The sequence below is a fragment of the Homo sapiens genome, chromosome 1, assembly GCF_000001405.40.
Source record: "Homo sapiens chromosome 1, GRCh38.p14 Primary Assembly".
Classification (NCBI taxonomy): domain Eukaryota; kingdom Metazoa; phylum Chordata; class Mammalia; order Primates; family Hominidae; genus Homo; species Homo sapiens.
In genome coordinates this window covers 65,025,445-65,041,332 of record NC_000001.11, presented here as the reverse complement: position 1 = coordinate 65,041,332, position 15,888 = coordinate 65,025,445, and the positions used below count along the sequence as shown (strand labels likewise).

Sequence of the window (15,888 nt, the reverse complement as noted above, 5' to 3'; positions counted from 1 at the left end):
GCTTTGAAAATGAAAGTTTGTTTTAGGTCAGGTTCAGCCTGGGGAAATGAGAAAATCACCCACTGGGATGAGCCCTTCCCCCTTCAACACTGTAAATAGCTTTTTCCACTTGGCGCGGTCTCCTCGCCACGGTAATAAGGAGCTCTTGCTGGCTGCTCCGACCCGTGCGACAGCCAGGCCTTCAGGAGGTCTGGTGTCCCTGCACTTTGTGGTCTCTGAGCAGTCCAGCTCTGCCTGCCATCAGTTTGGGCACTTGACATTTCAGGAAATCCTGAGCCCAGATTGCAGGCCCTCTTTTTCCGTGATGATACCCACTACATTGAAATGATGGATCTGTGATAGCAACAGGAGCGATGATATACATCTTTGTATATCCCTGCCCTCCCCAGACCCCAAGTCCTATATAAAAACTTCACTTCCTGGGCTTCCTTTACCCCACCCCAATATTTGCCATGTTTTCTTGTGTTTCATGATTTTTCTGTCAGCTCCTCTGAAATGTGAGGTCCTTCAAAGCAGGACTATGTTTTTTTTCGTGGTATCCCTTGCCCCTCGCAAAATGCCTAGGACATAATAGGTGTTCTATAAATGTTTGTTGAATGAATACAGAAAAACCAGAGCGCCACTATGGGTAGGTGAGTGGGATGGGGAAGGCCCTGAAATCCAGAGCACAGGGGGACCTGGGCATGTGTGTGTATGTGAGGGCTGAGTAGGGAGATTGTTGTGGACAGAATAATGGTCCGTAGAATAAAGGTCCACATTCTGATCCCTGGAACCTGAGAACACGTTATGTTAAATGCCAGAGGGAATTCTGGTTGCAGATGGAATGAAGGTTGCTCATCCCGATTGTAAGGTCGAGAGATTACTATGGATTACCCAGGTGGGTCAGGGTAATCACAGGGTTCTTACAAGTGGGAAGCAGGAGAGTCGGAGAAGATGTGATGACAGAAGCACAGGCTGGAGTGAAGTGGCCTCGAGCCACAGAAGGCAGGTGGCCTCTAGACGATAGAAAGGTCAAGGAACAGATTCTTTCCAGAGCCTCCAGAAGGAAAGCATCTGTGCTAGCACCTTGATGTTAGCCCTTTGAGGCCCAATTTCAGACTTCTTTTTTTTTTTTTTGGAGACAGGGTCTTGCTCTAGTTGCCCAGGCTGGAGTGTGGTGGGGCAATCTTGGCTCACTACAACCTCCACCTCCTAATTTCAAGGGATTCTCCTGCCTCAGCCTCCCGAGTAGCTGGGATTATAGGTGCCCACCACCATGTCTGGCTAATTTTTATATTTTTTGTAGAGACAGGGTTTTGCCATGTTGGCCAGGCTGGTCTTGAACTCCTGACCTCAGGTGATCCACCCGCTGCAGCCTCCCAAAGTGCTGGGATTACAGGTGTAAGCCACTGTGCCTCTTCGCATTTCAGACTTTTGACCTTAAAAACAACTTGTGTTGTTTTTAAGACACTAAGTTTGTGGTAGTTTCTTACAGCAGCTATTGGAAACTAATACAGAGGCTAAGCCTAGGGGAATGGGGGGAATCCTCAGGAAGGAACCAAATAGAACACATAACCCTGGAAAAGGCAATGGCTGTGTCGGAGAAGCTCAGTCAGCATCCAAAAATACCTTTCCTGCTGAATCACCCTAGATCAAAAGTCATTGACAGTAAGATCACCACTGGTACGCAGCTCAATGTGTGTTGCCTTTAGTGTCCCCAAATAGTGTGAATACCTCTAATAATTTGAGAGAAGCCATAGTAGAATATAGTGTAAAAGAGTCAGTCAAACCTGGGTTTGAGTTTCTTTCTGCCACCTATTGACTGTAGTAGCTTACAAATGATGTAACCTCTCGAAGCCACAGTTTACTTATCTGTAAACTGAAGATAAATCTGTTTCTTAACTAGAAAGATGGTGGTGAGGACTAAATAACACATATAATGTATTTAACATAATGCCTGCCATATAGGAAACATTGGATAAGCATTATCTATTACTAAAAACATACATACTAGGAACTTTTATAACAAGGTTGTTTGAGTTATCTCTATACTCCACACTGACTCAATCATATCTAGAGTCTGTAGTGAGTTGTGGGAACAAAGAGAGCAACTGGCATGGTCAAAAGGATGTCTAGGTTGGCAGTGGTGGCACACCTGGCCCCCTTGCATTTTCATAGGACTTTTACTGTTCAAAACACTTTCCCATCTATTATCTCAAACTATCAGATGAGGTTAATATGTATGTGTGTGTGTACTGGCTGGGTGTGGCGGCTCAAGCCTGTAATCCCAGCATTTTGGGAGGCTGAGGCAGGAGGATTGCTTGAGGCCAGGAGTTTGAGACCAACCTAGGCAGCATAGCGAGATCCTGTCTCTACACAAACACACACAAACACACACACACACACACACACACAAGACTGGGTGCGGTGGCTCACGCCTGTAATCCCAGCACTTTGGGAGGCCAAGGTGGGCAGATCACTTGAGGCCAGGAGTTTGAGATCAGCGTGGCCAACATGGCAAAACCCGTCTCTACTAAAAGTACAAAAATTAGCTGGGTGTGGTGGTGGGCACCTGTAATCCCAGCTACTCAGGAGGCTGAGGCATGAGAATTGCTTGAACCTGGGAGGCGGAGGTTGCAGTGAGCCAAGATCATGCCAATGCACTCCAGCCTGGGTGACAGAGTGAGACCTTGTCTCAAAACAAACAAACAAAGATGTCTAAAGGAATGGGGAGGTTTGACATAAAAGTTATGTGAAATATTTTCATGACTGGCTACATAATTTGTGGGGCCCAGTGCAAACTGAAAAAGTGGGTCCCCTTCTTCAAAAAAGTATTAAGAATTTCAAAATGGAATGGCTGGGCATGGTGGCTCACGCCTGTAATTCTAGCACTTTGGGAGGCCGAGGCGGGCAGATCACCTGAGGTCGGGAGTTCCAGACCAGCCTGACCAACATGGGGAAGCCCCGTCTCTACTAAAAATGCAAAAATTAGCTGGGCGTGGTGGCACATGCCTGTAATCCCAGCTACTCAGCAAGCTGAGGCAGGAGAATTGCTTGACCCCGGGAGGCAGAGGTTGCAGTGAGCTGAGATCGCGCCATTGTACTCCAGCCTGGGCAACAAGAGCAAAACTCTGTCTCAAAAAAAAAAAAAAAAAGAAAAGAAAAAAGAAAAAGAATTTCAAAATGGCAACATAAGAGCATTAAACCAAGCTTGGGGCCCTTCTGGACACAGTGCCCTGTTGCACAGGTTGTGCACCCGGATGGCCCCAAACATTCCCACGTAAGAAGGGATAGACTTGACCTCAACAGGGAAAACTAGAGCTAAGGGGAAGAAACTACAGACATAATGTGAGGCAGAACTTTGTAACAAGCCAATCATAGGAGCAACTTGGGCACTTAGGTCCCCAAAGTTGTTCAAGCAGAGGGTGGGCAGCCACTTTATAGAGACTTTATTGATTTATTTGTTTTATTTATTATTTTCTTCTTCAGAAACAAGGTCTCACTCTGTTGCCCAGGCTGGAGTACAATGGTGTCATCACAGCTCACTGCAGCCTTGACCTCCTGGCAAGAGGAGCGATCCTCTTGCCTCAGCCTCCCGAGTAGCTAAGACTATAGGCACATGCCACCACTCCTGGCTAAATTTTTAAATTCTTTCTAGAGATGGGGTCTTTCTATGTTGTGCAGGCTGGTCTCCAGCTCCTGGGCTCAAGCGATCTTCCTACCTGGGTACAGTTACTTTATATTAGAGAGCAGAGAGCTCATTATCACTAGAAATGTACAGTCTGAAGAAATGAAAATCTATACTTATTGACTTCTAAAATTATTTTAAGTTCTGAAACTTGAAAATTCTATCAAATATTTTAATAAAGGGGATTTTTAAGAGCTCTCAAATTTTTCTCAAGAACTTAATACAAGCTGGGCACGGTGGTGCACACCTGTAGTCCCAGCTACTTGGGAGGCTGAGGCAGGAGGAGTTGAGCCAGGAGTTTGAGGCCAGCCTGGGCAAAATAATGAGACCCCCCCCATCTCTAAAAACAAACAAACAAAAAAACTTCATATGATTTTGAACAATATAGAAAACACACACACACCCCTTTTTCCTACCATCACAGCTTTTGATATATTTGCATAGCTTTTTTCTCAATTGTTTTTCTTTTTCTTTTTGAGATGAGGTCTTGCTTGCTCTGTCACCCAGGCTGGAGTGCAGTGGCATAATTACAGATCACTGCAACCTCGAACTCCTGGGCTTAAGTGATCCTCCCACCTCAGCCTCCTGAATAGCTGGGACTATAGGTATGTGCTACCACGCCCTGCTAATTATTAAATTTTTTGTAGAGGTGGGGTCTTGCAATGTTAACCAGGCTGTCTTGAACTGCTGGTCTCAAGTGATCCACCTGACTCAGCCTCTCAAAATGTTGGGATTATAGGCATGAGCCACCACACCCAGCTTTTCTCAATCCTTATAAGCATGTATTTATTTTTTAAGACTACTGTAATTACTCTAGTTATGCACAGTTTTTATGTCCATGTACTGTAATGATTACATAATAGTCCATTGAATGGACATAGTACAATTTATTATTCCCTAGTTATTGGGCAACTCAGTTCTTTCCAAAGTTTCATTATTATAAAGAGCAATGCTCCAGATATTTTTGCATACACAGCTCTTCTTTACTCTTGAAATACTTTGTAGAATAATTAGAACTCACTTGGTTGCAAATTGCAAAGCTCATTGGAGTAGCCTAAGTGAAAGCAGTTATGTTAATAAGCACATAGGGCAGTCACGAAGATACAATGTGCAAGACACATAGAAATTGGAAAGTTGTCAGACAATCCCCCTCACCCTTCTCTGGTCTCTTATTTCCTTCAGACTTTTGCTGCCCATACCTTGTTCCCTGCTCCCTTATAACTTTGGCCTGCACGGGGACTTTCACTGTGTTGCCCAGGCTGGAGTGCAGTGGCTTTATCATAGTTCACTGCAGCCTCAAACTCCTGGGCTCAAGTGACTCTCCCACCTTAGCCTCTCAAGCAGCTAGGACTACAGATGTGTACCGCTATTCCTGGGTAAGTTTTAAACTTTTTTTGTAGGGATGGGGTTTCACTATTTTGCCCAGGCTGGTCTCAAACTCCTGGACTCAAGCAATCTTCCCACCTTAGTCAAGGTACACTACTTTCACGTGTACAATTCAGTGACATTAAATACATACATGTTGTTGTGCGACCATCACACTATCCATCCCAATAACTTTTTCATCATCCCAAACTGTCACTCTTTTCTTTTCTTTTTTTTGAGAGAGAGTCTCTGTCACCCAGGCTGGAGTACAGTGGCACAATCTCGGCTCACTGCAACTTCTACCTCCCGGGTTCAAGTGATTCTTCTGCCTCAGCCTCCTGAGTAGCTGGGACTACAGGCGTGCGCTACCACACCCGGATAATTTTTTGTATTTTCAGTAGAGATGGGGTTTCACCATGTTGGCCAGGCTGGTCTCGAGCTTGTGACCTCATGATCCGCCCGCCTCGGCCTCCCAAAGTGCTGGGATTACAGGCGTGAACCACCGCGTCCGGCCAGCTCTTTTCTTTTAGTTATGTTGCTATGATTATTTCAGATGTGCTTCCTGGGTCTGTCCTTTGGAATGTGTGATAGGGACACTCCCCAAAGAAGGGAACAGGGTGGGTAGGCACTCCAAGTGTCTATAGAAAATATCACACTTCTACAGTTTTTTAAACTTTAGAGAACACTCTCATACATTATTTTATGCAGACGTCTCAAGGAAGGACTTGTTGAAGTAGGAAGTGTTTATCCTTATTTTACAGGAGAGTAGAATGAAGTTGAGAAAATCTGATTTGCTCAACGTTTCCCAGTTTACTTCTAGAGTCAGCACTGAAGGTCAAGTCTCCTCAACTCCAAGTTCATACCTTTTCCATGACATCTCACGGATGCGTTTCCTCAGCTAAACTTTATACTCACTTGCTTATAGTTCCTACTACACATTCTATATCAGATTATGAGAAGGAAGAGAAGAATTCTCTGACTAGAACTCATGGATGGGCTCTGTCTAGAAACTACAGGTCACAAGAAGCTGGTTTAGCTTGCCAGTTTCTATTCTGGTATGTAGGAAAAGCAATAATGAACTCTATTGTACAATGTGATGATTCTGTGAAACCACATGAAAGGGTGGGTTAATGACCTCTTAATCTTTACCTCGAGAAAATCCTGAAGTATTTTCTGGAAACAAATGGCATTACTAAGAGAATTTATTTATTATTTATTTATTTATTTATTTATTTATTTATTTTGAGATGGAGTTTCACTCTTGTTGCCCAAGCTGGAGTGCAATGGTGCGATCTCAGCTCACTGCAACCTCCGCCTCCCAGGTTCAAACAATTCTCTTGCCTCAGCCTCCTGAGTAGCTGGGATTACAGGCGCACACCGCCATGCCTGGCTAATTTTTTGTATTTTTAGTAGAAACAAGGTTTCACCATGTTAGCCAGGCTGGTCTTGAACTCCTGACCTCAAGTGATCCGCCCGCCTTGGCCTCGCAAAGTGCTGGGATTACAGGCATGAGCCACCATGCCCAGCCACTAAGAGAATTTTTTAAATGAGATAGAGAAGAAAAAGATACCATGAGAAACAAAACAGTGAATTTCAGCTGGTGTTTCATGGTTTGTATGGAGAAACATATTTTGTCTGATTGGCTTGATTACTTTTTTTTAAGTGAAAAACAACTTTGCCATAATTCTTCATTTTATAGAGAAACCACAGGAAGAAAGCTTGTGTGGACTCAAGCTACCCTGTAGTACCTTTCTAACAACTAGATTAATGTTTGCCATTAGAAAATCTTTCCATTAAATTAATGGCTACCTTTTTGGATTAGACACTCACCTTCCATTTGGCACTCAGAGTCATTTCCTTGTCACTTGTTCCAAAAGAAAATCACTTAGGATAACTGAAGACCTTAGGGTAATGAGCTTTTATTAAGTCTGTCCTGATCCTTCCTTTTGTACAAAATTTATGAATTCTCCTTGCTCTTCCATATCAAGTCGTGTATCTTCTCTTTGGCTTTCAGCCTGATCCCACCCCATCTGTGCCATCCTGATCTCACCCTATTTATATGCCATCCCGTTTTCCTCAACTCTTCAATACCAGTTATGTTAATTTCCTTGTAGTTATCAAATACGTTATATTCAGCCAATCTTTATGTCTCTACCCACGTTGTACTTACCTTTCCTTTTATCCATGTGGAATACCTTTCCCCTTTACCCATCCTGAATAGTAAAATCCTACTTATTCTCTAAGGCTTTTGATCCACATCAATTTCTTATTTCTGTGAGTTTGTATAGCTTATAAATTACTATTATCATTTATTAAGCATATTTTGAGTGCCAGGCACATTATGTCTACTCCTTATTACAATTACACAAGGTAATTATTATCATCTTCATTTCATGAAAAGGGAAACAGAAGTTTAGAAATGTTATATAATTTGCCCAAAATCACACACTCTAAATTGCTAAGCTGAGGAGTGAACTGCAGGAGTGATGGATTCTAAAGCTCTTACTCTGTCTACCTATACTTTCTCTTACACTACATACTATACGGAAGTGTTTCCTTTTTTTTTTTTTTTTTTGGTACTACGGGAGTCTCACAATGTTACCTGGGCTGATCTCAAACTCCTGGCCTCAAGCAGTCCTCCTGCCTCGGCCTCCCAAAGCACTGGGATTACAGGCATGAGCCAGTTCACCCAAATGGGCAATGTTTTCTAATTATTTTGTGTGCATTAGTCTCTGCTGAATTTGTTCATGAAATCAGATACTATATAATTTAAGAGTTGTATTCAGTCACTAGTTCTGGAGATACAGGAGTTGAGGCCAGGTGTGGTGGCTTATACCTGTAATTCCAGCCCCTTGAGAGGCCAAGGTGGGAGGATTGCTTGAGGTTGGGAGTTTGAAACCATCCTGGGCAACATACCGAGACTCCATTTCTACAAAAATAAAAAAATTTTAAAATTTTATTGTTTAAAAAAAATTTATTATTTTATTATTATGTTGGGCACACACCTGTCATTCTAGCTCCCAGGAGGCTGAGCTGGGATGATCGCTTGACCCCAGGAGTTAGAGGCTGCAGTGAGAGCGCAAGAGTGACAGCACAAGAGTCTGTCTCTAAAATCCAAAAACAGGAACATAGCCTCTTTTTGCTATTTCCTCTGCCATCCCCAGGGTGGGGGCCTTTTCCTTGTGTTAACCAGATGGCTTCTGGAAGTCCAGCCTTCATATTTCTGTTCCAGGCAAGAAGGAGGAAAGGATTAAGGGTAAAGGGTAGGTTTCCCAGCCAAATTTTAAAGACTTTTTCTGGAAGTCTCGCTAATAGCTCATTGGCCACCAAATTTGCAAGGAAGGCTGGAAAATATTTTATAGCCAGGTACACTGACATACCCAACAATAAAGGTTTTTTGTTTCCAAGAAAGAATGGCTATTAAGTAGTGGTCTCTGCCACAGAGACCCATGTCTCAGTCTTTTACATTTTCATAGCACCTAATAGGTGCCCCATAACACTGGTGGGCAGTCTAACATAGAGAAATAGACAGTAGCAAAGGTAATTTAAAAAACGGATGCATGAAGACACTGAGAAGATGGCCATATGTAGTTTCTAATTTATAAGTACTTTATAAGAAAATAGATACCCACTGATTTCTCCCTAAACAATCCTGCTGTCCCTCAGGATTCACGTATGGAAGGATTATAACAGTAACATCAAGGTTAAGAAAATAAAGCCAGGTCATTTGAAATTATTTTGAGTGGATTCATTGTATTTCCTTTAGCCTGTTTTTTTTGTTGTTGTTGTTGTTGTTTTGCATATATTGTGTTTCCATTTACGAAATTGGCATTAGAAAATGTTCCATTTTGCAAAAGGGCTCGCTGTAAACAACCACTTCAGACAGAATGACCAGTACTCAGACAGTATCTGATGAGCACTTAGAACAAAAGAGTAATTACATTTCCAATAGAAATTAGCACTGTGCATTCTGGAACTCTCCTGAGTTTCTTATCTTGATTTGCAAAATAATTCAAAGCTTCAAAGAAAAATCTAGGCTGGGCGTGGTGGCTCACGCCTGTAATCCCAGCACTTTGGGAGGCTGAGGTGGGTGGATCACCTGAGGTCAAGAGTTTGAGACCAGCCTGGCCAATATGGCAAAACCCCGTCTCTACTAAAAATACAAAAATTAGCTGGGCGTGGTGGTGCGTGCCTGTAGTCCCAGCGACTTGGGAAACTGAGGCAGGAGAATTGCTTGAACCCAGGAGGCAGAGGTTGCAGTGAGCTGAGATCGCGCCACTGCACTCAAGTCTGGGCAGCAAAGCAAGACCCCATCTCACAAGAAAAAAAAAAAAAAAAAGAAAAAGAAAAATCTGTGTTTTTCCAGCCCCTAGGTTAACATCAAGAGAGGGTCTTTGAGATACAAAGCACATTTCTTTAATTTTTAATTTTGATACAGTCTCAAATTCTGTGTGCCCTTAACCCAGAATCATCAATTGTTTTAGCTCATTTCCTTTATCATTCTCTCTCTGTCTCTGGCATGTGTGTATGATTTTTTTCTGAAAAAATTTTAGAGTAAATTGGAGCCATGAGATGTTAGGAGACCCCTAAACACTTCAGATTATTTGCTGAAAAAAAGGACATTCTCTTATATAACCATAGCAAAATGATTAAAACAAGAAATTTAACTTTGATACAATACTGTTATCTAATCCAGGGTCCATGGACAAATTCCATTAATTGCCCTAATAATGTCTTTTTGTAGTTGTTTGACTTTCCCAGGTCAAATCCAGTCTTAGACCATGCAGTGCATTTGGTTGTCTCATCTCTGTAATCTTCTTTAATCTGGAAGAGTTCCTCAGCTTTTCATTGACTTTCTCTTACTTGAAATTTTTTAAAAAGTACAGGGCAGTTATTTTGTAGAATGTTCTACAAAATAACTCCTACAAGTATTCTGACTTGCCTAATGATCACATTCAGGTTGTATATTTTGAGCAGAAATACCACAGAAGTAGTGTTTTGTCCTTCTCAGCACTTTATATGAGAAAGTACATGATGCTGCTTTATCTTAGAACATCACGTACTTTGATCTCTGGTTAAGGCGGTATCCACCATATTTCCCCACTGTAAAGTGACTATTTTTCCTTTTTTTTTTTTTTTTTTTTTGAGATAGGGTCTCTCACTCTGTTGCCTAGGCTGGAGTGTAGTGACTTGATTTCGGCTCACTTCAGTCTCACCCTCCCTGGCTCAACTGATCCTCCCACCTCAGCCTACTGAGTAGCTGGGACTACAGGTGTGCGCCCCCACACCCAGCTAGCTGTTGTATTTTTTGTAGAGATGGGGTGTTGCCGTGTTGTCTAGGGGGGTCTTAAACTCCTAGGCTTAAGCATTCCACCCACCTCTGCCCCCCAAAGTCCTGGGACCACATGCATGAGCCACTGCACTGGCCACCGTTTTTTCTTTTGCAATTAAAAAACAATTGGTCACTGAGGCCAGGTGCGGTGGCTCACACCTGTAATCCCAGCACTTTGGGAGGCAGAGGTGGGTGGATCACCTGAGGTCAGGAGTTCAAGACCAACCTGGCCAACATGGTGAAACCCCATCTCTACTAAAAATACAAAAATTAGCTGGGCCTGGTGTGTGCACCTGTAATCCCAGCTAGTTGGGAGGCTGAGGCAGGAGAATCACTTGAACCCGGGAGGTGGAGGTTGCAGTGAGCAGAGATCGCACCACTGCACTCCAGCCTGGGTGACAGGGTGAGACTCTGTCTCAAAAAAAAAAAAAATTGTCAGGAGGTTTTGGGGACTATGTTAATATTCTGTTCCTCATCAAACACTCACCCACTAGTTTTAGCATTCACTGATGATTTTCAAATTCTATCCTCCCATTTATTAATTGGCTTTTTACTGCAAGAATGAGAAACTTTCTCTTCTAAGGGATGGTTTCTGATACAACACGTCTATGAGTTTCTGAGACTTTGTCTCAGTTTATTTGGGCTGCCATAACAAAATATTGTAGACTAGGTGGCTTAAACAACAGAAATTTATTTCTCACAGTTCTGGAGGCTGGGAAATCCAAGATCAAGATGCCAGCTGGTTCAGTTCCTTGTGAGAGCTCTCTTCCTGGTTTGCAGATGGCCACCTTCTTGCTGTGCCCTCACACATTGCAGAGAGAGTGCTGGTATCCCTTCCTCTTTTAATAAGGGCACTAATCCCACCAAGGGCTCCATCCTCATAATCTCGCTAAACCTAATTACTTCCCCAAAGCCTCACCTCCTAATACCATCACATGGGGGATTAGGGCTTCAAAACACGGATTTTGGTGTGGGGGAACACACAGTCCATAACAGACTTTTTTTTTTTTAACTTTTTAACTTTTAAGTTCAGAAGTACATGTGCAAGTTTCTTATGTAGGTAAACTTGTGTTGTGGGGTTTGTTGTACAGATTATTTCATTACACACTCTTAAGCCCAGTACCCATTCGTTATTCTTCCTGATCCTCTTTCTCTACCCTCCAATAGGCCCCAGTGTCTCTTGTTCCCCTCTATGTGTCCATGCGTTCTCATCATTTAGCTCACACTTGTAAGTGAGAACATGTGGTATCTAGTTTTCTGTTCCTTCATTAGTTTGTTAAGGATAATAGCCTCCAGCTCCATCCATGTTCCTGCAAAGGACATGATCTCATTCTTTTTTATGGCTGCATAGTACTCCATGGTGTATGTACCATATTTTATTTTCAAATACCAATGATGGGCATTTAGGTTGATTCCAAGTATTTGCTATGGCGAGTAGTGCTGCAGTGAACATACATGTGAATATATCTTTATGATAGAACGATTTGTATTCCTTTGGGTATATACCCAGTAATGGGATTGCTGGGTCAAATGGTATTTCTGCATAACAGACTTTTAAAAGGAAAAATAGGCTGGGTGTGTTGGCTCACGCCTGTAATCCCAGCACTTTGGGAGGCTGAGGCAGGCAGGTCACTTGAGTTCAGTAGTTTAAGACCAGCCTGGGCAACATAGTGAAACCCCATCTCTACAAAAAATACAAAAAAAATTAGCTGGGCACAGTGGTGCATGTCCGTAGTCCCAGCTACTTGAGAGGCTGAGATGGGAGTATCACCTGAGCCCTGGAGTTTGAGGCTGCAGTGAGCTATGATCATGCCACTGCCCTCTAGCCTGGGTGACAGAGTGAGACCCTGTCTCAGGAGAAAAAAAAAAGGAAAAATAAATACCCACTATTGTAAGAAGATGGTATCCTCATTGGATTGGGTAACTGATATTGAGCCTTGACCCCTGCATAGTAAAAGTAATTCCTTCCTTTGTCCTTTGTAATGATTCTTTTACTTTGTTCATATTTTTACTATCAAATGGTGAGCTAATTTTGCTCCTTTCCTCTTATTTGGCACTGAAGTCTGTTTCTTATTTGTTGCTATCAGATAAATCTGAATTTAAATTCCATACTTCCAGTTGTGTGTGACATTGGCCATGTTATTTGGGCCTCACCCTCCTTGCCCACAAAATAGGGATGATAACCCTTATCTCAGTGCTATTGGGAGGATTAAATCAGATAACGTATGTAAAAACATGTAACATGGTATCTGATAAAAAGAATACAATTAGTAAATAAGTTTTCTGTCTTTGACTTAAAGTTCCAATTTTTAGTGACACATTTTTATAAGTTTCAATGACTTAATTGCTCTCTTCAAGGGGTTAGATGATCTTCTTAGATAAGAAGTTTGCATCAGAAAGAGAAAGGATTAGTGGTATCTATCAACTTTTACATGATTTGTGTGGTTATACCAGTCCCTCCCTCCCTCCCTCCCTCCCTCCCTCCCTTCCTTCCTTTCTTCCTTTCTTCCTTCCATTTGCCACATAGTTAATGGCATTTGCTATATGCTAGTCACTATTCTGGGTGCTAGGGATAGAACAGCAGACAAAATCTCCTGACTTGACATCCATTATATTCTAATCAAAGGAGACAGATGATAAATATATAAATAAACTTTTAAAATTAGATAGGGTAAGTGCTATGGAGAAAAATAACACTGGGAAGGAGAATAAGAATTGTGAGGGGATTGCTATTTTAATTAGTCAGGGAAGGACTCACTGATGAGACAACACATGAGCAGAGACCTCAAGGAGATGAGGCATTGAGTTATTAGTGTAGCTGAGGGAAAAGCGTTCCAGGCAAAGGAAATATTTCAGACAAGAAACCTAAGGCATAGATTGACTTACTGAGGGTTCACCCAAAGGAATCATAAAAAGAGCTCAGGCAGTTCTGTGGAGCACAAAAACACTCTACTTCCCTTCTGTGAGCTTGATTATAGGTAAGAGCAGAATGGCTGGACAGCTGTTGGGGTTGTGCCAGCTGTGGCAGCGTGCCACGCAGACTTCCCTTCCAGAAAGAACCTGCTGCAAGGAATGCAGAACGCTGACAGCTTCTAGTCTGGATCCACCCCAGCATCCAGGGTGCAGCACTTTCTCCCAGGCAGCCCTCTACCAATGACTGAGCATGGCAGGGGTACTAGGGCATGACCACTGCCATGCAACGTGGGACTTTTTTGAGGGCAATCCTTGTGCCAGAGCTCCCTATTAGGCTGACCAGGACATTTCCAGAGCTGCACCACAGTCTGAGACTCTATTCACCCACACAATCATCCTTCCTTACCCTTCTCCTTTTACAAGCCTCAGACCTGCAACATGGTTTTAAGGCTTTCCCTGCCCTCTCCAGCTCCCTCTTCCTTTTGCCTTTCACAGTTATTACAACCCAGTGCTTTCACTTATAAACCCATCCTGGTGCCTGTCTGCTTCCTAGAGGACCCAAATTGACAGGAAGCGGAACAAAAATACATGTAAGGAGATTTTGCTCTGCTTCTTCTGCCGGCATCAGTCAGAGATAGACCAAGGGAATTGGAGGAGGGCAGTCGGCAGTGATGTCAAGGATGATCAAAGTTTCGAGATAATTGGCTGGGTGCAGTGGCTCACACCTGTAATCCCAGCACTTTGGGAGGCTGAGATGGGCGGATCACTTGAGGTCAGCCTGGCCAACATGGTGAAACCCCATCTCTACTAAAAGAAAAAAAAAATTAGCCAGGTGTGGTAAATTAGCCAGGTGTGGTGGTGTGCACCTGTAGTCCCAGTTACTCAAGAGACTGAGCCAGGAGAATAGCTTGAACCCAGGAGGCAGAGGTTGCAGTGAGTCGAGATCGCACCACTGCACTCCAGCCTGGGCAACAGAGTGATACTCCATCTAAAAAAAACAAAAAACCCCAAAAGTTTCCAGATAACCAGCTCTACCCAGGCCATCTCAAATAGTATACAATCTGAATGAAACCTGCTTATTTAAAAAAAATGGTTTTTATTTTTTTGAGACTGCCTAACTCTGTTGCCCAGGCTAGAGTGCAGTGGCGCAATCTCAGCTCACTGCAGCCTCTACCTCCTAGGTTCAAGCAATTCTCCTGCCTCTGGCTCCAGAGGTGCACTCCGCCATGCCTGGCTAATTTTTGTATTTTTTAGTAGAGATGAGGTTTCACCATGTTGGCCAGGTTGGTCTCAAACTCCTGGCCTCAGGTGATCTGCCCGCCCTCTGCCTCCCAAAGTGCTGGGATTACAGGTGTGAGCCACTGCACCTGGCCAAACCTTCTTATTTAAAATGCAAACAATTTCAAAAGCAACTCCTCTAGAAGCTCATAGCAGCCAGATGGCTGCCCCTAAGCTTTTCTTATGTAGAAATTCTGGGGCTACCAATGGAACAGTTCCAAACCCTTCCTTCCTTCTTTCCTGTTCTAGAGGAGGAAGGGATTAGCTAACAAACTAGAATCCAGGGGGGCAGCGTGCTTTGAGAGGGGAAGCTGGCACTCATTTTCACTGCTGGAAGCCAAACCGTGGGATTCTGAGGTCTCCAGGGACATTTTCTAGATCTCCAACTGTGATGATCATCTCTGTCTTATACCCCAGGCTGTGTTCAAAGGACTGCCTGTGTCTGGCTCACCATGCTCCACTGACATTCCAGCCAGAAACCATTCTCGGTGTTGATAGAACAATGCTCTAATCACATAGCTGAAATTACAGTTTGGGGCTCAATAAGGTAATGGTTCAAAAGATTTTCTGTGGAAATCTCTGCAGTCCCATCTGGAAAGCAAACACTGGCTGGATAGGTAGTAGCGTTGGGGTGGGATCACATGGAAGGCATGTAGACAAAGTTATGACCCAGGATTTCAGAGTGAATATCCTCTATGTGCCAGGCACTTTTACAGGTTTATATTTCTAGAACCAACCTATGATGCTGGAATGATAATTTGAGGTAATCCCTGTTTTATGGCTTAGAAAAATGTGGTTTGGCTGGGTGTGGTGGCTCATGCCTGTAATCCCAGCATTATGGGAGGTCAAGGCAGGAGGATCGCTTGAGTCCAGGAGTACAAGAGTAGCCTGGGCAACATGGCAAAACCCCATCTCTACAAAAAATATAAAAAATTAGCCAGGCATGGTGGTATGCACCTATAGTCACAGCTACTCGGGAGGCTGAGCTGGAAGCATTTCTTGAGCCTAGGAGGTCGAGGCTACAGTGAGCTGTGATCATGCCAGTGCACTCTAGCCTGGGTGACAGAGTAAGACCCTGTCTCAAAAAAGGAAAGAAAAAAGAAAGAAAGAAAAAAATTGATTTGTAAAGTTAAGTGATTTTTTCCAAGGTCATAGTGCTAGCAAGTAGCAAACCTAGGATTCGAGCCAGGTCTTCAGATGCTAAATTTAGTGACTTTTTAATGATTTTACTGCTGGCTAACTATTCTCTTGCCTTTATCCATATTCCTGTGTCAATAATAGTATTTTACCCTGTGGCCTCACCTCTTTGCTTAGTTGCTTAGATAAAAATCAT

The 15,888-nt window shown here is 43.1% G+C and overlaps 1 protein-coding gene across 4 annotated transcripts in view, besides 1 other annotated feature; it reads left to right on the top strand.

The window, feature by feature from the left end:
• Positions 1-15,888, top strand: part of JAK1 (Janus kinase 1) — a 234,518-nt gene that overhangs the window by 26,414 nt on the left and 192,216 nt on the right. The window lies entirely within an intron of this gene.
• Positions 14,521-15,338: an enhancer, noted in NCBI's record as "OCT4-NANOG hESC enhancer chr1:65491678-65492495 (GRCh37/hg19 assembly coordinates)". NCBI's record gives its function as "activates a minimal SCP1, AML or CMV promoter by ChIP-STARR-seq in primed H9 embryonic stem cells {active_cell/tissue: H9 hESC(primed)}" and the evidence as "EXISTENCE:reporter gene assay evidence [ECO:0000049][PMID:30033119]".